Source organism: Homo sapiens, chromosome 2 (assembly GCF_000001405.40).
Source record: "Homo sapiens chromosome 2, GRCh38.p14 Primary Assembly".
NCBI lineage: Eukaryota > Metazoa > Chordata > Mammalia > Primates > Hominidae > Homo > Homo sapiens.
In genome coordinates this window covers 46,507,757-46,534,711 of record NC_000002.12, presented here as the reverse complement: position 1 = coordinate 46,534,711, position 26,955 = coordinate 46,507,757, and the positions used below count along the sequence as shown (strand labels likewise).

Sequence of the window (26,955 nt, the reverse complement as noted above, 5' to 3'; positions counted from 1 at the left end):
CAAGGTTTAGAAAGCAGCCTCAAAAAGAGGAAGTTCATCCGCTACTACCGTAACTGCCAGCCAAAACAAATTTTACCATTTTTAAAACAACAAAATACAGACATTTAACAACATTAAATTCAGAATGTTAAAAATACTAGATATGCAAATAAGTAGGCAAATAGAACCCAAAATCAGGAGAAAAATCATTTAATAGAAACAAACCCCAAAATGACAGAGATAATAACGTTAGCAGACAAGGACTTAAAAAATTAAAATAAAACAAGGATTTAAAGGAAAACATGAACATAGTGAAGAAAAAACTGGAAGATATAGAAAATAACCAAATGGAACTTCTGGAGCTAAAAAATACAACACCTGTAATGAATAATTCAGTGGCTGAACTTAACAGTAGGTTAGACATTGTGGAATGAAATATCTGTGACACTGAAGACATAGCAATAGAAACTGTCCCAATTAAAGCAGAGAGAAAGGAAACAAAAGAAACACAGAAACACAGAGCCTCAGTCACCTTAAGATGATATTAAAAACTGGAGTCCTCGAAAAGGATTAACGGTGATGATTTGAAGGCCAAAAACAAGTCCCAAATTTCATGAAAATTGTAAACGTATAGCGCCAAGAAGCTCAACAAATCCAAAGTAGGAGAAAAACAAAGCAAACCATATCAAGCGAGGCACTTTGTAATTAAATCACTGAAAACCAGTAATAAGTAGAAAAAAATTAAAAGCAGAAAGAGAAAAAAAGACACATTTTATACAGGGAACAAAGACAGATATAATTGCAGACTTCTCTTCAGAAATAATGCAAACTAGAACTTAATGAAATCGCGTCTTTAAAGTGATAAAAGAAAAAGAAAGCACTGTCAATCTAGAATTCTATATCCACCAGAAATATTCTGTAAAATTGAAGGTAAAATAAATGTTTGTCAGACAACAAAAGGCTTAAAGTTTTTTTTAAACCAGAAGATCTTCAATACAAGAAATACAAAATAAAGTTCCCGAGGCAGAAAAAACATGGTACCACATGAAACCACTGACCTACACAAAGAAATGAAGAGCACCAGAAATGGTAAATATATGGGTAAATATGAGACATTTCTTTCTCTGTTACAAAATTCCTTTAAAACATAATTGACCTTGGCCGGGTATGGTGGCTCACACCTGTAATCCCAGAACTTTTGGAGGCTGAGGCAGGTATATTGCTTGAGCTGGAGAGTTTAAGACCAGCCTAGGCAACATGGCAAAACCCCATCTCTACAAAAAATACAAAAATATAGTTGGGTGTGGTGGCACACTCCTATAGTCCCAGCTACTCAGGTGGCTGAGGTGGAAAGATCACTTGAGCCCAGGAGTTCAAGGCTGCATGAGCTGAGATCATGCCACTGCACTCCAGTCTGAGTGATAGAGCCAGACCATGTCTCAAAAAAACAAAACAAAACAAAAAAACCCCAAACCATTCTATCTATCTATCTATCTATCTATCTATCTATCTATCTATCTATCTATCTACACATACATGCACACACTATATATGATATAACATTATATATAATGTTAGATATATAATATGTTAGGTATATAATATAACATTAGATATATAATATAATGTTAGATATATAATGTTAGATATATATATATAATTAAAAAAATAAAAAACACAATTGACCATCTAAGGCAAAACTAATAGCAGTATATTACATGGTTTATAACATGTAGAAATAGAACCTATAACAATAATAACAAAAGGGATAGAAAAACAGAAATAGAACTATATTCTTATAAAATCCTTACATTGCGCATTAAATGATATAGTGTTATCTGAAGGTTGTCTTAGTCTCTTCCTGCTGTCATAGCAATCTACCATAGACTGGGTCATTCATAAATAATAAAAGTTCATTTCTCTTAGTTCTAGAGGCTGGGAAGTCTAAGATCAAGGAATCAGCAGATTTGGCATCTGGTGAGGGCTCACGCTCTGCTTCCAAGATGGCATTTTGTTGCTGCATGCTCCAGAGGGAAAGGAACAAACACTATGACCTCACATGGTAGAAGGGAAAAGGGGGTTAAAACAAACAACAAAAAACTCTTAAGCCCTTTTATAAGGGCACTAATCCCATCCATGAGGGCTCTCCCCTTCCAAATTACCTCCCAAAGTTTCCACCTCTTAATACTATCACCTTGGGGTTTAAGTTCCAACATAAATTTTGGAAGGACACATACATTCAAACTATAACAAAGGTAGACTAAGAAAACTTAAAGATGCATGTTGTAAAACCTAGAGCAATCACTATAAATAAATAAATACATACATAAATACATAAATAAAGCAAAGAGGTCTTTTTAATAAGCCAACAGTAAAGACAAAGTGGAATACCAAAAAAAAAAAAAAAATCAAAAAGGAAGTCAGGAGGGTGCCAAGATCATTCAATGGTCTTAGGAAAACAGTAGTCTCTTCAATAAATGGTGATGAGACAAACTAGATATCCACAAGCAAAAGAATGAGTCTGGATCTTTCCCTCTCAACATATACAGACATTTACTCAAAATGAATTGACAACCAAAAGACATGAGCTAAGACCATAAACTTTTAGGAGAAAACCTAGGGATAGATCAACAGTTTCTTATATATGATGTCAAAAGCATAACAACAAAAGTAAAACCAAAACTGGACTTCATAAAAATTACAAAACTTTTCTGCTTCAAAGGACATTATCAAGAAAGTGAAAAGACAGCATACAGAATGAGAGAAAATACTTACAAATTAAATAGCTCATAAGACTCTAGCATCCAGAATGTATAAAGTTCTCTTATCATTCAACAATAAAATGACAAATAGTTTATTTTTTTAAAGGGGCAAAAGACTTGAACAGACATTTCTCCAAACAAGATATAAATCACCAACAAGCACATGAAAAGGTATTCAACATCATTAGTAGTTAGTCATTAGGTAAATGTAAATAAAAACCTCAATGAGGTACCCCTTTACACCCACTAGGATGGCTATAATTAGGGGTGGGGGAAGGAAAATAAGTGTTGGTGAAGATGTGAAGAAATTGGAACCCTTTAGATTGCTGGTGGGAACGTAAAATGGTTCAACCTCTGGAAAACAGTTCGAAGGTCTTTGAAAAAGTTAATTATAGAATTACAATATGACCCAGCAATTCTAGAGCTAGGTATATATCCAAAAGAATTGAAAACACATCCTCAAATAAATACATGTGCATACCATGTTCACAGTGGCACTATTCCCAGTAGCCAAAAGGTGAAGACAGCTCAAATGTTTATCAACTGGTGAATGGATAAATTGTGGTATATGGATACAGTGGAATATTATTGAGCCATAAAAAGTAATGAAGTACTGACAGCTGCTACAATGTGGATGAATCTCAAAAACGTTATGCTAAGTGAAAGTAGCCAGACACAAAATGCTATATGTTGTATGTTTCCATTTACATGAAATATCCAGAACAGGTAAATTCATAGACAGAATGTAAGTTGGTGGTTGCTATGGGCTGGGGATGGTAGGGTTTGAAGGGAAAATGAGGAGCAACTGCTTAATGAATATGAGGTTTCCTTTTGGAGTGATAAAAGTGTTTTGAAGCTAGATAGAGGCAATGGTTGTACAACCTTGTGAATGTAATAAATGCTACTGAAATATTACTTTAAATTCACCTCAATTTCAAAAAACGTATTCACCAACCAAGAGAAAAAAAGTCAGGTAATATGGTTTGGCTGTGTCCTCACCCAAATCTCATCTTGAATTGTAGCTCCCATAATTCCCACGTGCCACGGGAGGGGCCCGGTGGGAAGTAACTGAATCATGGGCTTGGGTTTTTCCTGTGCTGTTCTTGCGCTAGTGAATAAGTCTCATGAGATCTGATGGTTTTACAAAGGGGAGTTCCCCTGTACAAGCTTTCTCTTGCCTGCTGCCATGTAAGACGTGTCTTGCTTCCCCTTTGCTTTCTGCCATGATTGTAAGGCCTCCCCAGACATGCTGAACTGTGAGTCAATGAAACCTCTTTCCTTTATATATTACCCAGTCCTGGTTATGTCTTTATTCGCAGTGTGAGAACAAACTAATACATCAGGAAAAGAGGAAAAAAGGAAGAAAGAATAGCTGGTTACAATGGAAAACAAATAGCAAGATAAAAGACTTAAATCCAGCCATACTGATAATTATATCATATATAATAACACTTGAGGAGAGTGCAGGGCAGGTGGCCAGGGAAAGCGGGTAATAATGAGAACCTTTGTGTTTGAAGACCTAAATGACAAACTGTTTGACCTCTGAAATGAATATTGGAGAAGGGAGGAGGATGATGGTTCTTGGTTCCTGAGAGGTGGATGCCTGACCTACCCTGAGATAGTGGCAGAATTGGGGGCATGACCACCCCACCCACCACCATCATCCCTTTACTGTGCACAGGCCTGAACCTCTTCTCAGCTTCTGTTCAGCCCAGTGCTTCTCTCCTGGCGCCATCCTGGTGTCTCACATGCTGTAGGGACCAGGGAATCCTGGGGCTGGAAGAGGAGAGGGCTCTGTATGTAGGTGGTAGGAGACTGAGCTGCATTCTGGAGATGTGCAGTTGTGGCCTGAATTGAGTGATCCTGAGACCTTCAGTTAAAGGTGGGAATTTCCAGCAGATGCCTTACAGTCAGGGATATCCTTCAACCCCCTTTGCAACAATGTAACAGGACAGGTTATAAATATACTGAAATAATTTCTTTCTGGTTCGAAAACATTTCCTACCCTGAGCTCCCTGAGTGCCCTGATCAGGCCACTGCATCACCCTGACGTTCATCATCTTTGTACCCCCATCTCCTTCAACTCGAAGAAGGTTGCAAATTCCTAAGATTGTTGAGAGTCTATTGGGGAAACTACTTCCTCACCACCCAAATCATTCATCCATGGGTTCAATAAATTGTTATTATTATTATTATCATCATCATCATCATCATTAAAGACAGATGTCACTCTGTTACCCAGGCTGGAGTGCAGTGGCACAATCACGGCTCACTGCAGCCTCAAATGCCTGGGCTCTAGTGATCCTCCCGCCTCAGCTTCCTGAGTAGCTGAGACCATAGGTGCACACCATCATGCCTAGCTCATTTTTAAAATTTTTTGTAGAGATGGGGTCTTGCTATGTTTCCCAGGCTGGTCTCAAACTCCTGGCCTCAAGCAATCCTCCTGCCTTGGCCTTCCAAAGCACTGGGATTACAGGCGTGAGCCACCACACCCAGCCAAATCATTATTAAGCTACTGCTATGTACTAGACTCTGTGGGCAGGGTTGAGATGAGTGCAGAGTGGGTCAGAAATAGTCCTCTTCCCAAGAAGATCACTGAGGAAGCCCCTAGGCATGGTGAGGGACAGCACTGAATGGGTACAGTCTTTTCCTTGCAAACCAGTACCTTCCCTGCATTATAGGTTGAGCTGTGTCTAACAGCAAATGTGAGGCCAGCCAGGACTTGTCATGGTGAGAATTAAGTCAGTATCATAGCAGTGTTGGGCATCTGAATGTGTAACTCAAGGCTGAGGACTAGTAGACACTGCTTCTGGTGTTCCTGCCCTCCCTCTTGGGGCTGTCCCTACCCACGACTTACAGGTTGGATGGAGGCTTGGGCAGCCAGCTGCCTCTGAAGGGCTATTTCCCAGGGCTCCTTGCTGACTTCATACCTACCCTTGGCCCCTCTGGAGGCTGCCTGGGGCTCTGACCTCCAGCCTGGGCCAACTTCTCCATAGGCAGCTCTAGGAGTATGGTTCTAGGAAGGGCAGAATGAGGGGCTCTGGGAACCCATGGGCAGGGAAAGACAAACCCATGGGCTTTGTGAAAGACAGCATCTGATATTTCTCTCTCACTTTACAAAACTTGTTTGCTTCTTCCACTATTCGGCCTTCTCAGCTCCACTGTGAGGACAACAGAACTCTTCATCAACATCCTGGTTTTACAGAAGTAGTTTTGTGTCTCTAGGTGAATTGAGGCAGATTGTCAGCCTTTATCCAGATTGCCCAACCTACGAGTAGCATCAGGACTGGGGTCTGAACCTCTGATGCCCAGTCCTGGATGCATCTTGTGACACCAAGCGGCTGCCCATGGAGCCTCCAAGGCAGAGGGAGACCTCCTGTTCCAGGGGCAGCCTGGTTTCCACCCTCATGAGGCGGGAGAAGGGAGTCCTGCCCTGGAGGAGTCACCATCCTGTGATGTCCCATGTCTACCCAGCATGTGGGCATGCCCACTAACTATTAACCATATAAACTGCTCATATGCCATGCAGCCAGACTCTCAGATCACTACCACCACCCTGTTCCCACCTTCAAAGAGGGCTATTTTGGGGGGTGAATACTTTGACAAGTGGATTGAGTGGGTACATGAGACCTTCCAAGATCTTCTTAAGTAACAACTGATGGTTGCTTCACTGCTTTCTAAGAAGGGTGAATTTATTTAACTTGTAGTGCAGTGTTTCTCAAATATTTTGTCCTGCAAATTGCAGTTAACAAATACATTTTTCATTGTAAACTGGAATACATACACATACATATATTATGTTTGTGTGTGTGCACATATATCTATACATATAACAAAAGGTTTGATATAACAATACTTAACCTTACCACCTGTAATGAATTCTGGATTTTTGATTCTATTTGGTTTCATTTCTTTTTATTCAGTGATGATCCAGTAAATGATTTCATAGTCCACCAAACGGTCACGGTTCACACTTGGAGACACCCAATGCAGGTCTCTGCTGGCTGAGTGCACTGGCTTGTGGCTGGAGGTGAGTGCTCAGGACCACAGAGGGATAAAGAACCTCTATAACTCAACAACAACAAAAAAACAAACAACCTGATTTTAAAAATGGGCAAAGAACTTGAGTAGACAGTTTCCAAAGAAGATAAGCAAATGGCCAATAAGTGCATGAAAAGATGCTTAATATCACTTATCATTAGGGAAATGCAAATCAAAACCACAATGATACCACAATGGGTAATTTCATATCCATTAGGATGGCTATTATTTAAAAACAAAAAACAACAACAACAACAAACCCAGGACCAGGCGTGGTGGCTCACACCTGTAATCCCAGCACTTTGGGAGGCTGAAGGGGAGGATCACTTGAGGCCAAAAGTTCAAGACCAGCCTGGGCAACAAAGTGAGACTCCTTCCTCTACAAAAAAATTTAAAAATTAGTTGGACTAGCCGGGCGCGGTAGCTCCCGCCTGTAATCCCAGCACTTTGGGAGGCCAAGGTGGGCAGATCACGAGGTCAGGAGATCGAGACCATCCTGGCTAACATGGTGAAACCCTGTCTCTACTAAAAATACAAAAAATTAGCCGGGCATGGTGGCAGGTGCCTGTAGTCCCAGCCACTCGAGAGGCTGAGGCAGGAGAATGGCGTGAACCCGGTAGGCAGAGCTTGCAGTGAGCTGAGATCACGCCACTGCACTCCAGCCTGGGCGACAGAGTGAGACTCTGTCTCAAAAATAAATAAATAAATAAAAATTAGACACGATGGTGTGCACCTGTAGTCCCAGCTACTCAGGAGGCTGAAGTGGGAAGATTGCTTGAGCCAGGAGTTTGAGGCTGCAGTGAGCTATGATCATGCCACTACACTCCAACCTGGGCAACAGAGCCAAGACACAAAAGAAAGAAAAAAAACAAAAACAAAACCAGAAAACAGCAAGTACTGGCAAAGATGTGGAAACACTGGAACCCATGTGCATTGCTGTGAACTGTAAAATAGTGCGGCTGCCGGGGAAAATGGTGCAGATGTTCTTCAAAACACTGAGCTTAGAACTACTATATGATCCAGCAATTCTACTTCTAGGCATATACCCCAAAGAAGTGAAAGCAGGTCTTTGAACAGATATTTATATACCCATGTTCATAGCAGCATTATTCACAACAGCCAAGAAAGGAGAGCACCCCAAGTCTCTATGAATGGATGAATAGACAAAATATGGTATATACACACAATGAAATATCCAGCCATAAAAAGGAAGGAAATTCTGACCTGTGCTACAACATGGGGAATCCTGAAGACATCATACTAAGTGAAATAAGCCAGCCAAGGAAGGACAAATATTATGATTCTATTTATATGAGGTACCTGGAGTACTCAAATTCACAGAGACAGGAAGTAGAATGGTGGTTGCCAACAGTTACTTGGGGAAGAGTATGTGGGATTAGTGTTTAATGGATACAGAGTTTAAATTTGGGAAGACGAAAAAGTTCTGGAGATGGTGGTGATAGTTGCAAAACCATGTGAATATTCTTAATGCTACATAAATGTACACTTAAAAAGGCAGGGTGTGGTGGTTCACACCTGTAATCCCAGCACTTTGGGAGGCTGAGGCAGGTGGATCACTGAAGGTCCAGGAGTTCAAGACCAGTCTGGCTAACATGGTGAAAACCCATCTCTACTACAAATACATAATTAGCCAGGCATGGTGATGCACGCCTGTAGTCCCAGCTACTCGGGAGGCTGAGGCACAAGAATTACTTGAACCCAGGAGGCGGGGGTTGTAGTGAGCCGAGATCACACCACCGCACTCCAGCCTGGGCAACAAGAGTGAAACTCCGTCTCAAAATAATAATAATAATAAATAATGTACACTTAAAAATGGTTAAATGGCAAAATTTGTTATGTACATTTTACTACAATAAAACAAAAAAGGTTTCACTTTTAAAACAGGATTTCCAACTTCTCTAAAAAATCAGATCTTATGACATCCTAGTCCACATTTTCTAAGGCAACAGACCGGGGAAGTATTTGCCCCTTTAGACAGGGATGGAAATGAAGGGCTTTTTTTTTTTTTTGGAGAAACTGCCACTGGAAACTTCTAGATATGCAGCTTTGAAGCAAATGACTCTTGGGGAGAACCTGACTGCTTTGAAGTAAGCTGTCTGCAGATGTTTTAGAAGGAGAAATTCAGTTGTGAATTCTTCATGTAAATTATTTTGGGAGAAAGGTTTCTTCCCCTGCCTGTAGGCATTAGCTTTCTCCAGTCCTGACCAAAGCCTGCTTTGCCAGTGTGAGTGGAGTTCTTGGAATAAAACTCTATGTGGCTCCTTACTCATCAGCAACTGAAGCAGAGATGAAGCTTTTCAGGCCCTTCTGATTTTCTCTCCAGGTGTCTCCTGTTACTTCTAGACCAAATGAACTCTCTCGCCCTTGCCTTCTCTCCCAAGCTTGCTCGCCAGGGAGCAGGGTGCCTGTCCCTGCTTTCTTTTTTTTTTTTCTTTTTTTTTTTTTTTGAGACGGAGTCTCGTTCTGTCGCCCAGGCGGGAGTGCTGTGGCGCGATCTCGGCTCACTGCAAGCTCCGCCTTCCGGGTTCACGCCATTCTCCTGCCTCAGCCTCCCGAGTAGCTGGGACTACAGGCGCCCGCCACTGCGCCCGGCTAATTTTTTGAATTTTTAGTAGAGACGGGGTTTCACCGTGGTCTCGATCTCCTGACCTCGTGATCCGCCCGCCTCGGCCTCCCAAAGTACTGGGATTACAGGCGTGAGCCACCGCGCCCGGCCGCCTGTCCCTGCTTTCTCACAACCTCACCCCAAGCTGAGCTGCTCTGTTCTGTGTAGCCAGAGGCTGAGTCCTCAGACCTGACACCCAACAGCTTGTGGGCCACATCTCTTCCTTCCAATCGCGATGCCTTGTCTTGTGTCCTGGCCCTCGCTGTGTACAGGCTCCCTCTGGCTTTTGGCATATAGTCCAAGACTCCTGCCCCCACCACCCCCAGGCTGATCTTCCTGAGTCCAGGTTTGGCGAAGGTACAGCCCTGCTAAGAAGCCTTTGATGGGCTCTTTTGCATAATGCCCCAACTCTCAGGCAGACATTTCCACCCTTTCCCATTCACACCCCAGTGTCTTTCTAGACATTGTCCTCTGCAAGTCTCTTGACTACTGCCAAACCCACCTGCTCTCCACACGCAGACCTCAGACCCCTTTCCACCAGCAGGCCTTTGCCCGCAGTGTTCTCCCCATCCAGTGTCTTACTTTCTTTCTGCTTATGATGACGGTCCATCTCTCAGCGCCCATCCTTACTACTCCCTCCCTGACTGGCCCCTTGCCCACAGGGCTGCTACCTCGGCTGAAGTGTGCAGTCAGTCTGGCTGTGTCCTTTCCTGCCCCTTATCCCATCCCATTTTGAGTGCCAGATGCTTTTCTCCTATTTTAAACCAGGGCCCTCTCTGAAACCACAAGGCATTGCTTAAAGTTGGGTCTCCATAAAGATGTGATTGATTTTTGTCTATTTGGATAAATTCTGCTTAATAAATACTACCAACTTTCTACATTTTCCAGGTGACTTGCCTCCAAGTTAAGGTACTATGTTGATGTGCCCTGAAACCTCATTTTCTTGTCTGAGTTTTCCGAAATTGCCTTATGTTCTTTCATGTATCTTCATTTCCCTCCCTCCCTATTGGTGTTCTGTTGTTACCCATGGAAGGTCTCAAACCATCCCCTACCTGGTTTAAACATCTTCAGGTCAACAATACATTATAAAGTGTATTCAAATAGGAAGAGAGGAAGTCAAGTTGCTGTTTGCAGACGACATGATTTTATATTTACAAAACCCCATCATCTCAGCCCAAAAACTTGTCGAATTGATAAGCAACTTCAGCAAAATCTCAGGATACAAAATCAATGTGCAAAAACACAAGTATTCCTTTACACTAACAATAGGCAAGCAGAGAGCCAAATCATGAATGAACTCCCATTCACAATCGCTACAAAGAGAATAAAATACCTAGGAACACAGCTAACAAGGGATGTGAAGGACCTCTTCAAGGAAAACTACAAACCACTGCTCAAGGAATAAGAGAGGACACAAACAAATGGAAAAACATTCCATTCTCATGGATAGGAAGAATCAATATCATGAAAATGCCCATACTGCCCAAAGTAATTTATAGATTCAGTGCTATTCCCATTAAACTACCATTGACATTCTTCACAGAATTAAAAAAAAACTATTTTAAATTTTATATGGAATCAAAGAAGACCCCATATAGCCAAGATAATCCTAAGCAAAAAGAACCAAGCTGGAGGCATCACACTACCTGACTTCAAACTATGCTACAAGGCTACAGTAACCAAAACGGCATGGTACTGGTACCAAAACAGACATATAGGCCAATGGAGCAGAGACCTCAGAAATAACATCGCACATCTACAACCATCTGATCTTCGAAAAACCTGACAAAAACAAGCAATGGGGAAAGGATCTCCTATTCAGTAAGTGATGCTGGGAAAACTGACTAGCCATATGCAGAAAACTGAAACTGGACCCCTTCCTTACACCTTATGTAAAAATTAACTTGAGATGGATTAAAGACTTAAATGTAAAACCCCAAACCATAAAAACCCTAGAAGAAAACCTAGGCAATACAATTTAGGACATAGGAATGGGCAAAGACTTCATGACAAAAATGCCAAAAGCAATTGCAACAAGAGCCAAAATTCACAAATGGGATCTAATTAAACTAAAGAGCTTCTGCACAGCAAAAGAAACTATCATCAGAGTGAACAGGCAACCTACAGAATGGGAGAAAATTTTTTCAATCTACTCACCTGACAAAGGTCTAATATCCAGAATTTACGAGGAACTTAAACATATTTACAATTAAAAAAAAACATCAAAAAGTGGGCAAAGGATATGAACAGACATTTCTCAAAAGAAGACATTTACATGGCCAATGAACATATGAAAAAAAGCTGAATATCACTGATCTTCAAAGAAATGCAAATCAAAACCACAATGAGATACCATCTCATGCCAGTCAGAATCGCAATTATTAAAAAGTCAGGAAACAATAGATGCCAGTGAGGCCGTAGAGAAATAGGAACACTTTTACACTGTTGGTGGGAATGTCAATTAGTTCAACCATTGTAAGAAGACAGTGTGGCAATTCCTCAAGGATCTAGAACCAGAAATAGCATTTGACCCAGCAATTCAATTACTGGGTATATACCCAAAAGATTATAAATCATTCTACTATAAAGACACATGCACATGTATGTTTATTGCAGCACTAATTATAAAGCAAAGACTTGGAACCAACCCAAATGCCCATCAGTGATAGATTGGATAAAGAAAATGTAGTACATACACACCATGGAATACTATGCAGCCATAAAAAGGAATGAGATCATATCCTTTACAGGGGCATGGATGAAGCTGGAAGCCATCATCCTCAGCAAAGTAATGCAGGAATAGAAAACCAAACACTGCATGTTCTCACTCATAGTGGAAGTTGAACATTGAGAACACATGGACACAGGGAGGGGAACATCACACACCAGGGCTTTTTGGGGGGTGGGGGTTAGGGGAGGAAACTTACAGGATGGGTCAATAAGTGCAGCAAACCACTATGACACACGTATACCTGTGTAACAAACCTGCACGTTCTGCCATTATCCTTTTTTTTTTTTTGGAGACAGAGTCTCCGTCTGTCGCCCAGGCTGGAGTGCAATGGCACGGTCTTGGTTCACTGCAACCTCGACCTCTCAAGCAATCCTCCCACTTCAGCCTCCCACGTAGCTAGGACCACAGGCGCACACCATCATTCCTGGCTAATTAAAAAAAAAAATTTGTAGAGATGTGGTCCCACTGTGATGCCCACTGTGAACTCCTGGGCTCAAGCAATCCTCTACCTCTGCCTCCCAAAATGTTGGGATTACAGGCATAAGCCACCTCACCCAGCCAAAAAATACTTTTTGAAAGACAGGGCCTGGCGCAGTGGCTCACACCTGTAATCCCAGCACTTTGGGAGGCTGAGGCGGGTGGATCACGAGGTCAGGAGATCGAGACCATCCTGGCTAACACAGTGAAACTCCGCCTCTACTAAAAATACAAAAAATTAGCCGGGTGTGGTGGCATGCACCTGTAGTCCCAACTACTCGGGAGGCTGAGGCAGGAGAATCGCTTGAACCCAGGAGGCAGAGGTTGCAGTGAGCCAAGATCGCACCACTGCACTCCAGTCTGGGCGACAGAGTGAGACTCTGTCTCAAAGAAAAAGAAAAAGAGAAGAAAGAAAGACAGAAGAGGGGATGCCCCACTTCCACATACTCAATATTTAAAATCCCCCAAAGGAGTCATTACTTCTCTACATTTTCTCACCCACTTCCTGGGCCCTGTAAGTTGCCCTGTGCTCCAAGCTCTGGAAAGCCCCTTCTCCTCCTTCCTCAGTCTGCAATCTCTAAGTGTCTGGAGGCCCACGTTTGGTCCTGCTTCCCTTTTGGCTAGGGGTAGGAAGCACACACCCAGACACATCTGACCTCATATTTGCTTACAAATCCCAGCTGGAATGAAGAACAGTTGCTTCAGGGTCTGGGCAGGGCTCCAGGTTGACAGACATATTTTGCCCACCAAGAACTCCCTGCGGCTGCCTCCTCCCTCTCATGGTGCTGTGGATTTGGTACTTCCCCAAGATACTCACAAGCTCATGTGGGCAAGGGCCCAAGAAGAGATTTCCCAGCTCACACTTCCTCTAAAGATCCTTCCCAGGCCAGGCATGGTAGCCCATGGCCATAATCCCAGCACTTTGGGAGGCCAAGGTGGGAGGATTGCTTGAGCCCAAGAATTTGATATCGGCCTCAGCAAAATGGTGAGACCCATTTCTAAAAATGAAATAAAGACCTTTCCCACGCCCACAGATATACAATCACCAGTTTGGAAATGTCTGCTTCCCAAAGGTCATATGGAGAGGCTTCTGGGATGCTGGTAATGTTCTCTTGATCTGGATGGTGGTTACAGGATATTTGCCTCGTAATATTCATTAAGCCAGACATTGCCGTTTCATGTACTTGTCTGACTGCATTTTGTATTTCATAATTTTGAAAAAGGCAAAAAAGAAAAAAAAAAGCCTCCCTTCCATCCCCAAGCCCTTAATCCAATCAATCCACGTTAAATGAACACCTATCTGCACCCAGCCCCTGCTAGGGAAGGAGAGTCTCATTTTCAAAGAAGTTTCCTAGAGGAAGCAAAAATAACTGGAAAAACAAACACCGAATCCAGCTCTGAATTGTATCTGGAAAACAGACCATGCTGTCATTTGGAGGAGGAGTCCAGAGATCAAGGAGTGGTGGGGCTTAAACTGGGCCTGAATATATGGGCAGGATTTATTAAGTGGAGGGAAGCATTATAGCCAAGACAACAGCATGAGCCAAAGCTGTTAAGTGGGAATGAGGCTGTTTTAGCGGGGAGGCCCCAGTCGTGAAGGGTTCACGAGAGCCGAGTCTGGCTTGGAGGGCCCCTTCTGCTGTCCCCAGCACAGGCGGAGTGGGTGCCACTTAGAGCATCCACCTGCTTCAGCAGGGTAGAAGTGTCTGAGCCCTCGTATAAGGACAGGCATGTGCGTTTCACATTTCTTGGTTTGTTTTGTTGTTTTGCTCAAGTCACAGGCCCATGTGGGCTCATAATCTCCATCCCAGACAGACGAGAAGTTACATCTGCTAGACACATTACATGGGCACACGCTTTCCTGCAGAGGGACTTGCTCAATCCCTGCCTTTTAACCCTGCCCTGCCCTGCAGCTGCCTTCATGTCCCAGCACTAATGAGCTATTTAGAAGTGGGAGTGCAGGGAGGGGACACAAGAACTCAGGATGCAGATTCAGGCACAAGGATGTGTGACAGGCTGTGAGATGACTTCCACCTCATCCCCAGTTCAGAATCCTGGGATTCAGGAGCTTCCACCACCATCACAAAGGATATGACTGGTCACCTGAGACTGTGGGCAAAGGTACCATGAAGTGTTGTGGAGAGGAGGGTCACCAACTCCAGGCAGGGCTGCTAAGTTTATTACAAACAGGCAAGACTAGAATATGTTTCCACTTTAGTGAGTGGAAACCTAATCATTCATAGGTATCCTGTACACACAGAACAACTATGATGAAGAGTGAGGCCTAAATCAGAGGAGACGAGGACAATAATAGTAGTAGTGGTCATGATGATAATAATAACTACCAGACATGAAGATTAACCATGCCTAACATTGTGTTAAACGTCTCACTTCTTTCATTTAATCCTTACAATAATCCAATGATGTAGCTGCTATTATTTTTATTATACAGATGAAGAAACTGAGGGCTTGAGGGGTATACTGCTTTGCCAAAGTCGTACAAATGGTAAGTGCAGAACCAGGATCTGAATTCCGTCAGTCTGACTGCAGAGTCCACGCCGACACCGTGGAAGCTGGTGATGCCCATTAGGCCCTGTCTGGGCATGAAGAGGATGCCCTCCCTCATGAGCTGGAACACAGCATCCCCTGTTGTGGGTGTGGCTCTCTTAAAGACCATCTGGTGAATTTTGCTTGTGCTGGTTTCTTATTAAACAACCTTCAGATTTGGCTTCACGTGCAACTCACATAGAGGGAAAGGAGACCATGATCCGCCAACATGACAGCTGTATTTTTCATTAGTAAATTAGCAAACTGGCTGCCTGGGTCACCATGCATACCTGTTAAGGTGAGCCCGCCCCAGAGCTAAAGGCTACCATGTGCCAACTTAACTGAGATTCTGAGTGTGCAAGGATAACCCCCGTCATGGCCCCGGGTGCCAAGGAAATCCCTTTTAGCCTCCTCTTGGCAGACTTGGCCAGCCTTCCCCAGTGACAGCCTGGCTCTTTGGATTCAAGCTGCCTGGTCAGACTGCAAGGGTCATCTGTACAAAGAAGGAAGCAACAGTGCCAGGTTCCAGCGTGCGTTCCAAGTTCCACATTCTGTGTGCAGACTCCCAACGCCAGAGCAAAGGCAGGCCCCTGGCAGGGGACTGGTAAGGCTTCACCTGATATATTTCTTCCTATATACACGTAACCTGGGGCTTCCTAGACCTTGTACTATGTCTGCTTTCATTGACAGTGGTTCCTAAAGCTGGTCAGCATCACGGTTACCCGGGGAGCCTTAAAACACACACACACACACACACACACACACACACACACACACACACACACACACAAAATTGACTTGTCTTATTTAGGAGCAGAAAATGCTTTTGCTGTAGTTACAAAATGCAGGTTTTTTTTAAAAGTACATCCTAAAGTAATGAGGAGTGGATGGCCCAAATAAATTTTCTTTCTGACTTCTAATGACATTTTGTAAGATTGAACCCAAGGGCTTGGTCTTTGTCACAAACACTGGGTGGTTTTTCCACCAAGCTTGGGAAGTGGTACGGGTTTCTGGGATAGCATTTGTGTGTGTGTGTGTGTGTGTGTGTGTGTGTGTGTTGTGTGTGTGTGTGTAACAAATGTTTAAGAGTATGGTACAGTACTGTTAACTGTATGTACGTTACTGTACAGCAGGTCTCTAGAACTTTTTCATCTTGCATCACGAAAACTACACCCATTGAACAGAACCCCATTTCCCCTACCCCCACCCCTGGAAAGTGTCATTCTGTTAATATTTCCTGGTTCCATGAGTTTGACTACTTTAGATATCCCATAAGTGGAATCATGCAGTATTTAATCTTCTATCATGGGCTTATTTTACTTAGAATTATGTCCTCAAAGTCCATCTATGTTGTAACATGTGACAGGATTTTCTTCCTTTTTAAGGCTTTATAATATTCCATTTTATGTATACACCACACTGTTTTTATCCATCCATCAGTAAGCTTGTAGATTGTTTCTACCTCTTGGCTATTTTGAATAATGCTTCCCTGAACATTGGTGTGCAAACATTTCTTCAAGATTCTATTTTCAGTTCTTTTGAACAGAAGTGGGATTGCTGGATTACATGGTAATTCCATTTTTAACTTGTTGAATAACCACCATACTGTGTTCCATAGCAGCTGCATCATTTTACATTCCCACCAACCCAGTGCACAGGAGTTCCAGTTTCTGCACATCCTTGCCAACACTTGTTATTTTCTTTTTCTTTCTTCTTTTTTTAAAAAATAATGACCATCCTGTCAGGAGTAAAGTGATATCTCATTGTGCTTTTGCTTTGCATTTACTTGATGATTGATGTTGAGCACATGATGTTTTCCTATGCCTGTTGGCCTTTGTATGTCTTCTTTAGAGAAATGTCTACTCAGGTGTTTTGCCCATTTTAAAATCAAGTTTGTTGTTGTTGTTGCTTTTGCTTTGAGTTGTAAAAGTTCCTTATGTATTCTGGATATTAACTTCTTATGAGATATACGGTTTGCAGATATTTTTCCCACTCCATTGGTGACCTTTTCACTCTGTGGATTGTTTGATTTGCTGCATAGATGCTTTTAAATTTTATGCAATCTCATTTGTCTATTTTTGCTTTTGTTGTCTGTGCTTTCTCTGTCATATCCAAGAAATCATTGGCAAGACCAGTGTTATGAAGCTTTTCCCGTTTGTTTCTTTCTAGGAATTTTATCGTTTCAGGCCTTACATTTAAGTCTTCAATCAATTTTTAGTTGATTTTTGTGTATGCTTAAAATAAGGGTCCAATTTCATTCTTTTGCATGTGGATATCTAGTTTTCCCAACACCATTTATTGAAGAGGCTATCTTTCCCCCATTATGTAGTCTTGGCACCCTTATTGATGATCATTTGATTGTAAATGTGGGGTTTATTTCTGGGCTCTTCATTCTTTTCCATTGGTCTATATATCTAGCTTTATGCCAGTACCATACTGTTTTAATTACTTTAACTTCGTAGTATATGTTGAAGTCAGGAAATGTGAGACCTTTAGCTTTGTTGTTCTTTCTCAAGATTGTTTTTGGCTATTTGGGGTCCTTTGTGATTCTATATGAATTTTAGAATTCTCCCACCCTATTTCTGCAAAAAACAGCATCAGGATTTTGATAGGGATTGCACAGAATCTGTGGATCATTTTGGTTAGTATGGACATTTTAACAATATTAGTTCTTCCAACATATGAACATGGGATGTCTTTCCATTTATTTGTTTTTAACTTCTTTCAGCAATGTTTTATACTTTTCAGTAAACAAGTATTCTAGTTCCTTGAGGTGTAAAGTTAGGTAACTTGAGAGTTTTTTTTTTTAATATAGAGTTTACTACTATAAATTTTCCTCTTAGAATTGCTTTTGCTGCATCTCATAAGTTTAGGTATGTTGTAGTTTCATTTTCATTTGGTCTCAAGATATGTTCTAGTTTTCTTTTTGACTTATTCTTTTAAAAATTTTTTTTAGAGATAGGGTCTCATTCTGTTGCCCAGACTGGAGTGCACTGGCACCTCATTAGCTTATTACAGCCTCGCACTACCAGGTTCAAGCGATTCCTGCTTCAGCCTCCCAAAGTGTTGGGATTATAGGCATGAGCCATTGCATCCGGCCTGACTTATTCTTTAACCCTTGGTTGTTCAAAAATGTGTTGCTTGATTTCCACATATGTGTGAATTTTCTAATTTTCCTTCAGCTATTGATTTCCGGTTTCATTCCATATAGTTGAAAAGATACCTGGTGTGATTTCAATCTTCTTAAATTTATTGAGATTCGTTTTATAACCTAACATGTGATCTGTCCTAAAGACTGTTCCATGTGTGCTTGAGAAGAATGTGTATTGTGCTGCTGTTGGGTGGAAGGCTCTGCATATATGTCTGTAAGGTCCATTTGGTCTATGGTGTTGTTCAAGTTCTCTGCTTTTTTACTGATTTTCTGTCTGGATATTCTCTCCATTTTGACAGTAGGGTATTGAAATTTCCTACTATTATTGTATTGCTGTCTATTTCTTCCTTTGGTTCTGTCAATGCTTGCTTCATATATTTGGGTGCTCTGATGTTGGGTACATATATATTTATAAGTGTTCTATCTTCCAGGTGAATTGACTCTTTTATCATTATATAATGTCTTTGTCTCTTGTGACAGTTCTTGACTTAAAGTCTATTTTGTCTGACATCAGTATGGCCACCCCTGCCCTCTCTTGTTACTTTTGCATGGAATATATTTTTCCATCCTTTCACCCTCAGCCTGTGTGTGTCCTTAATTTCTAAAATTAGTCTCTTGTAGACAGCAAATAGTAAGATCTTGTTTATTTTTGTTAATCCATTCAGCCACTTTATATCTTTTCATTGGAACATTTAATCCATTTATATTTAAAGTAATTACTGATAGAGAAAGACTGACTGTTGCTATTTGTTAACTGTTGTTTTTTGTTTTTTGTCTCACGGCTTTTTGTCTCTCTTTTCCTCTCTTGCTATCTTCCTTGTGTTTGACTCCCCCATACCTGCCCCCAACCCCTGGTGGCAACATACTTCAATTCTTTTCACATTTTCTTTTGTGTAACTTCCAAAGGTATTTTCTTTGTAGTAACTGTGGGCTAACATGAAACATGTTATAATTTTAACTGTCTACTTTAAGCTGATGAATTAACTTCAATCACAAGCAAAAACTCTTTTTTTACCCCCCAACATTGTTATTTATGTCACAAATTGCATCTTTTTACATTATGTATCCATTAACATATTTTTATAGTTATGGTTACTTTTTATACTTTTGCCTTTTAACTTCTATACCAGAATTAAAAGTGATTTACATATCACCATTACAGTATTACAGTATTCTGTATTTGCCAATATCTTTATCTTTACTAGTGAGCTTTACACTTTCATATGCTGTCTAGTGGCCTTCTGTTTCAAATAGAAAGATTCCATTTAGTATATCTTGTAAGGTAGGTCTAGTGGTGATGAACTTCCTCAGCTTTTGTTTATCTAGCAAAATCTTTAGTTTTCTTTCCTTTTTGTAGGACAGTTTTTCCAAATATAGTATTCTTGATTAGCAGGGTTTTTTTTTCAGCCCTTTGAATATATCATCTTACTCTTTCCTGTACTACAAGATATCTACTGAGAAATCCACTGTTAGTCTTATAGAAGCTCCCTTATATGTGATGGCTCTTTTCTCTTTCTGTCTTTGACTTTTGACAATTTGATTATAATGTGTCTTGATAAGGACTTTTTTGGGTTTATCTTAGTTGGAGTCCGTTAGACTTCTTGAATCTGGATAGACATTTCCCTCCCCAGATTTGAGAAGTTTTGGCCATTATTTCTTTAAAAACTTTCTATCCTTTTTTCCCAGCCTTCTTTTGAGACTCCCATAATGCATATATTGGTCTGCTTGATGATGTCCTGTAAGTCTCTTAGGCTTTCTTTACTCTTTCTCATTCTTCTTTTCTTTTTGCTCCTTTGACTGGATAATTTCAAATGTTATATCTTCAAGCTCACTGATCTTTTCCTGTTGAACTCCTCTAGTGAATTTTTTCAGTTCAGTTATTGTATTCTTCAGCTCCAAAATTTGTTTGGTTCTTTTTCATATTTTCTATATCTCTTTTGATATTCTCATTTTGTTCATACATCATTTTCCTGGGCTTGTTGAGCATCCCAGGGAACCTTTTAAAGATATGGCTTCCCAGACCTTACTGGCAGAGATTCTGATTCAGTAGGTGTAGGGTTGGGGCCTTAAAAGCTGTATTTCCTTTTTTCTTTTTTCTTTTTATTTATTTATTTTTTTGAGACAGAGTCTCACTCTTGTCACCCAAGCTGGACTGCAATAGTCGAGTTCAGCTCACTGGAATCTCCACCTCCTGGGTTCAAGCGATTCTCCTGCCTCAGCCCCCTGAGTAGCTGGGATTACAGGCATCCACCACCACACCCAGCTAATTTTTTTATTTTTAGTAGAGATGGGATTTCACCATGTTGGCCAGGCTGGTCTTGAACTATTGACCTCAGTTGATCCACCCACCTCGGCCTCCCAAAGTGCTGGGATTACAGGCATGAGTCACCACACTAAAAGCTATATTTCTTAAAGATCCTCCAAGTGGTTCAGATATACATCCGGGTTTGGAACCACTTCTAGTAAAAAGACCACCTTCAATCTCTTCCCCTTCCCTTATATAAGCTTTAGGGAAATGGGGAAGTCTAGGCTTATATAAAGAATATAACGTGTTTTGTTGTTGTTGTTGTTTTTGAAATGGAGTCTTGCTGTGTCATCAGGCTCAAGTACAGTGGCGCGATCTCAGCTCACTGCAACCTCTGCCTCCTGGGTTCAAGCGATTCTCCTGCCTCAGCCCCCTGAGTAGCTGGGACTACAGACACGTGCCACCAAGCCTGGCTAATTTTTTTGTATTTTAGTAGAGACGGGGTTTCACCATGTTGGCCAGGATGGTCTTGATCTCCTGACCTCGTGATCCACCCGTCTCAACCTCCCAAAGTGCTGGGATTACAGGCGTGAGCCACTGCGCCCAGCCATAAAGTTTTTAAATAAAAGCTTCGGGGAAGTGAATAGATAATGGATAGAATATGCAGACAGAAAATCAGTAAAGAAACAGAGAACTTGAACAACGCTATAGACCAAATGGAGCTTACAGACATATATGCAGAACATTCCACCCAACAGCAGCAGAATGCACATTCTCCTCAAGTGCACATGGAACATTCTTTAGGATGAATCTCATGTTAGGTTACAAAGCAAGTCTCATCTCTCCAAGGTGCCATTTTCCGCTTAGTAGTACTCCTTTTTCTCTGTATCGTTTGAAGGTTCTTACAACCCTCCTACCTCCAGGAAGGATTCAATCCTGGCTGGATTAAATCCTGGCTGACCATGAGTTTCTTAAGACTTTCCCCAACCCTCCTGACCCCAAATGTGGATATGCTTTCCATTTATGTATTAATTTGGTGTTTCCATTCTGTTGGCTTGCTATCTGAGTCTTAGGCCACTGCTGTGTAGAGAACTTCTGGACTAGGTCTGCCCTAACTACCTCATTATTATTTGATAACAATGAGAGTGAGTGTAGCAGGGATAGAATTCTGGAGATCCTGGTTCAAGTCTCATTCTTCTAGAGTATAACCTTAGATAAATTGTGTTCCTTCTCTGGACCTCAATTTCCTCATCTGTGAAGTGAGGGGTATATATACAGTCTCTGTAATCCTCCTCTATAGCCTCTGACTTTCTCTTTCATCCTCTTGTTCACTGGTATAGCTGAGAAAGTGGAACTCCAGAGACACTCCTGAAATTGTCCTAAGTCAAAGGAGCCAAACGGTGTACGAGCTCCCTCTCTGCCGTCCCCTCTGAGAGCAGCCATGGCCCTGAGTGATGTCGATGTGAAAAAGCAGATTAAGCACATGATGGCTTTCATTGAGCAGGAAGCCAATGAGAAAGCAGAGGAAATCGATGCCAAGGCTGAGGAAGAGTTTAACATTGAGAAAGGACGCCTCGTGCAAACCCAACGACTGAAGATTATGGAGTATTATGAGAAAAAGGAGAAGCAGATAGAGCAGCAGAAGAAAATCCTGATGTCCACCATGAGGAATCAGGCGAGGCTGAAAGTCCTGAGAGCCCGAAATGACCTCATCTCAGATTTGCTCAGTGAGGCGAAGCTGAGACTCAGCAGGATTGTGGAGGACCCAGAGGTCTACCAGGGGCTGCTGGATAAACTGGTGCTCCAGGGTCTGCTCCGACTGCTGGAACCTGTGATGATTGTACGCTGCCGGCCACAAGACCTCCTCCTGGTGGAGGCTGCTGTACAAAAAGCCATCCCCGAGTACATGACAATTTCCCAGAAACATGTGGAGGTCCAGATTGATAAAGAGGCATACCTGGCTGTGAATGCAGCTGGAGGTGTGGAGGTCTACAGTGGCAATCAGAGAATAAAGGTTTCAAATACCTTGGAAAGCCGACTGGATCTCTCAGCCAAGCAAAAGATGCCAGAAATACGAATGGCCTTGTTTGGTGCTAACACCAACAGAAAGTTCTTTATATAAGCCTCTGGGAAGTGAAGCTAGTGTTGAACCACTAAACCATAAAAGTTTAAGTTTTTTGGGGAAAGGAAACTAGTAGTGTTTCCTCCTCTTTGATGCTCTGATACTGTTCTGTTTTTCTTCACGAAATACCCTTTGGATAGCTAAAGTGTTAACTTTGAAATAAAGCCCAAATTAATGCTCAGAATTCAAATTCCAATTCATCCATACATGCCACAGCTTCTGGTCCATTCTGCAGTCTGGGATAAGGGGAGTGATGACATCTGCTCTTCAGCTTGGCCTCAGGTGGTGAATGTGTGAGATGTGAATAGTGTTCTTCGCCTGTGAATCTGGGTGCTCTAGTTTAATATGCATATGAAGTGTGTTTTTCTTTTGTTTCAGCTTCAGTACCCAAATTTATGTTATTTAATGAGGTCTAGAGATCTTCCTCACATGTCCAGAACCAACTTCATGTGCATCCAACCAGCACAGTCACACAGGGGCCAAGCTCAGAAGGGCCCCGCACCTGGGGATTAGTGATCTGTATTTGCTGCCCTGAAATTCCTAATTTCAACTTTGGATGTATGCTTTGTAAGGGATGCTTGATGGAACCCTGGGGCATGTGCCAGGGGTTTGGAGCCTTGGCTCACACATGGTACTGACTCCCAAAGCCTACCCACCTTCTTGGGATGGGTTGTTGGCCAACCAATTCCCAGTCCCCTGGTGCCCTGAGGCCCAGCCTTCCTCCACCTCACCCAGTAAGCATTGCTTCCCTCTGCTCCTGGTGGGGGCCTGGTGTACCTGCAGGGAGGGTCAGAATGGGGTTTCATGCTCTGTGGAGTTTCAGGGCCTGAAATCTCTGCCCAAGGCTGGCAGCTCCATAGCATATTCAGTAGACAACTTGAGGGAAGGGGTGAGTCTCTTACACACCAGATACTGAGCCCGTCCTGGTGTAGAGGTTTAAAGACCCTAGGAGTTACCTATCCGCTATAGGGCAGCCAGCCCACTGGAAGGAGAGATGCCAGCTCATCTTCCCTGATCCTGGCCCAGGCCCACAGTGGTGGCTAGTGGGAAGGGGGACCCAACCACTGCCGAACTTGCTGCACCAGAGTCTTAGGGCAGGACCCTCAGGAGCTTGTAAATGTCTGCACTTGGCCTGCAAAGTATCTCTGTGCCTGGCCGGGTCCTCCCTTGGACAGCTCAGTGCCTGGGGGAACTTGGATGCATCTCTTCTGGCCAGTGTGAGGCACCTTCTGGGAGGAGCCAAGAAATACAGATTGTATAATTTTGGTGACTTGGCATATAGGCATTGCACAATAGAAAAGTAAATGGTAGAATTCATGCTAATAATTTAAACTTCGAATGGTAGAATTCATGCTAATAATTTAAATTTTCTTCACTTAAGACATTAAACAGCAAATAAACACTATGAAAAGTCAAGAAAAAACTACAGAAGAAAGGAAAAAGCTTTATCTTTTAGTGCCATTCATGGCACTTCTTTCCTGCTTTTTGAACAAAGGATCTCACATTTTCTTTACTTTTCTTCTTCTTCTTTTTTTTTTTTTCTTTTTTTTTTTTTTTTTGAGATGGAGTTTCTCTCCTGTTGCCCAGGCTGGAGTGCAGTGGCACGATCATGGCTCACTGCAACCTCCGTCTCCTGGGTTCAAGTGATTCTCCTGCCTCAGCCTCCCGAATAGCTGGGATTACAGGTGCGTGCCACTATACCCAGCTAATTTTGTATTTTTAGTAGAGACGGGGTTTCACTATATTGGCCAGGCAGGTCTCGAACTCCTGACCTCAGGTGATCCACCAGCCTCGGCCTCCCAAAGTGCTGGGATTACAGGCGTAAGCCACCGTGCCTGGCCAGATCTCACATTTTCATTTTGTACTGGGCTCTGCAGATTACATAGCAGGTTCTGCATATGTATGTGTGATTTAAGGTCTAGTGCATGCCTGATGTTGCTTTACTTATTAAAATAGAATTTTTTTGAAGAAAAGAAATCCCAAGATGCTCTGCTGAGGGCAAAGGTTGGCCTGTGTGGTTACGACTCTGTAAGGAACAGAAACTTCATGAAACTCAAACACAAAGTAGGGGACAGGCTACTAGTAAGTTGGGGTGTCTCACAGAACCTAGAATAGGAATCCTTCATGATCTCAGGAGAGGGCTGGAATTGGGACTCAGAAAGCCATCTGAAATCCTCTATATGGCCATTTTTCTTTCTTTAACGAGTGACTTTCTCTGTTGCCCAGTTTAAATGGTGGAATATGCATGCCCCACAATTCCAAAGTTGACATGTTATAGTTCCAGAAACAAACTTGCTTCTCTTGAAGTCCATTCCATTTTCCCAGGAGGGAATCTATTTGGCCGAGCTGGGGTCAGGTGTCTACCTATGGTCCATGTGGTGTCTGGGGTAGTTCCCAGAGAAAGAAGGGTCTTTGTCAACTGAACGGACTCCCCACAGGGTGTCTTCTATGTGGGCCCTTTTGAGTTTCAAATGAACATTGTTTTTTTTGTTTGTTTGTTTGTTTGTTTGTTTTTTGGTTTTTTTTGAGATGGAGTCTAGCTGTGTCGCCCAGGCTGGAGTGCAGTGGCATGATCTCGGCTCACTGCAACCTCCGCCTCATGGGTTCAAGTGATTCTTCTGCCTCAGCCTCCCGAGTAGCTGGGACTACAGGCACGTGCCACAACACCTGGCTAATTTTGGTATTTTTAGTAGAGACAGGGTTTCACCATGTTGGCCAGGCTGGTCTCGAACTCCTGACCTCATGATCTGCCCGCCTTGGCCTCCCAAAGTGCTGGGATTACAGGTGCAAGCCACCGCGCCCAGCCTCAGTGAACATTTTCCAAATGCCAGTGATGAGCCAGGCACTGTGCTGGGTGCTGGGCTGCAAAAAAGAATATGATCTGGCTCTTTTCTTTAAGGAGTCATAGACACATAAACAGATGATGATCATGATAATGATACAATGTAGCAAGTGCCAGCCTAGTGCTGATGTGCAATCCTGTGGGAAGACAGTGGCTGGAAGGGAGGGTAACAGAAGGGTTCCTGGGCTTTGGCAGTTGAGCTGGGGAAAGCGCTCCAGGCAAAGGAAGGAAAGCATGTGCCAAGGCCCTGAGGTGTGAAAACGCAGGGTGCATTACAGGAGCTGTGTGTAGTTCAGCGTGATGGAATGTGAGGGGTGAGGAGGAAGAGACCATGGATGAAGGTGGAAAGATGGGCCTCATTACAGGGTGTTGCTCTGGAGGTTTTCTTGTTTGTTTTTGTTTTTGTGGGGTTTTTTTTGTTTTTTGTTATTTTTTGTTTTTTTTTTTTTTGAGATGAGGTCTTGTTCTGTTGCCCAGACTGAAGTGCAGTGGTGTGATCTTGGCTCACTGCAACCTCAACCTCCTAGGCTCGAGCGATCCTCCCATCTCAGCAGGTTACAGCAGGAAGTGGGAGCCAAATTCCCAGAAGGGGATGGGCTGGGGGCTTGGTCCCCAGTCCTGAGTAGCTGGGACTACAGGCATGCACCACTGCACCTGGCCAGTTTTTTTTATTCTTTGTAGAGATGGGTCTCACTATGTTGGCCAGGCTGGTCTTGACCTCCTGGGCTCAAACAGTCCTCCAGCCTTGGCCTCTCAAAGTGTTAGAATTACAGGCGTGAGTCACCACACCTGGCCTACTCAGGAGTTTTGACTTAATTCTGGTGGGTGAGTGATAAGGAGGTCATTGAGGGACTTTAAGAGTGAATGAAACAATGAGAGCTGGACTTTCAGAAAGATTATTCCAGTGTCGCTCTAGGTGGAGGACACATTAATGTGGGGGAGAGACTGGAGGTAGGGCACCTCTCATGGGGGCTATTTATCAGCCTGAGTGAGAGGTGATAAATAACCTACCCGCTCTTTCGTGAGGCAGGTGAACTTCACGACACAAAGGTGGAAGAGATTAGAATCAGTGACTTCTGTCCTATGCCTCCTCCCTTCCCCCACCCCAATATATTTTTTCATTTGTCCAGGCTTGAGGCTCTATTAGTTTCACATCATCTTACAATTTTTTCTTATGAGAGTCTCCCTATGCTCCAAGATTTCCCCCCTCTCTCCTCACCATCATTCCAGGCCCAGCAAAGCACCCACTTCCCAGCTGATCAAGCCCCCAGCCCTTCCCCTTCCGGGAAGTCAGCCCCCACTTCCTGCTGTAACCCTGGAGTGTCTGAACCCCCTCGGCCTACCCTAGCTCTGGCCCCCTGAGCCACCCTCAATCTGTTAGCTGCCCCCAACATCAATTCACCTCCCCCAAAAATGGACAGTCGTAGGTTTT

At 42.7% G+C, this 26,955-nt stretch overlaps 1 protein-coding gene across 12 annotated transcripts in view; it reads left to right on the top strand.

Moving 5' to 3' along the window:
* Positions 1–22,865, top strand: part of ATP6V1E2 (ATPase H+ transporting V1 subunit E2) — a 30,731-nt gene extending 7,866 nt beyond the window's left edge. For 4 of the 12 annotated variants that reach the window (XM_047446257.1, NM_001371282.1, XM_047446255.1 and 1 more), the window contains 2 exons: positions 6,665–6,771; positions 21,900–22,865. In XM_047446257.1, coding sequence (XP_047302213.1) covers positions 22,001–22,681 — 681 coding nt within the window. In that variant the 5' untranslated portion in view covers positions 6,665–6,771; positions 21,900–22,000 and the 3' untranslated portion in view covers positions 22,682–22,865. Of the gene's footprint in view, positions 1–6,664; positions 6,772–15,068; positions 15,768–21,899 lie in introns of all 12 variants that reach the window. The other 8 variants (XM_017005225.2, XM_011533148.4, XM_011533152.4 and 5 more) reach the window with 4 other exon arrangements.
* The last annotated feature ends 4,090 nt before the right edge of the window (positions 22,866–26,955 follow it).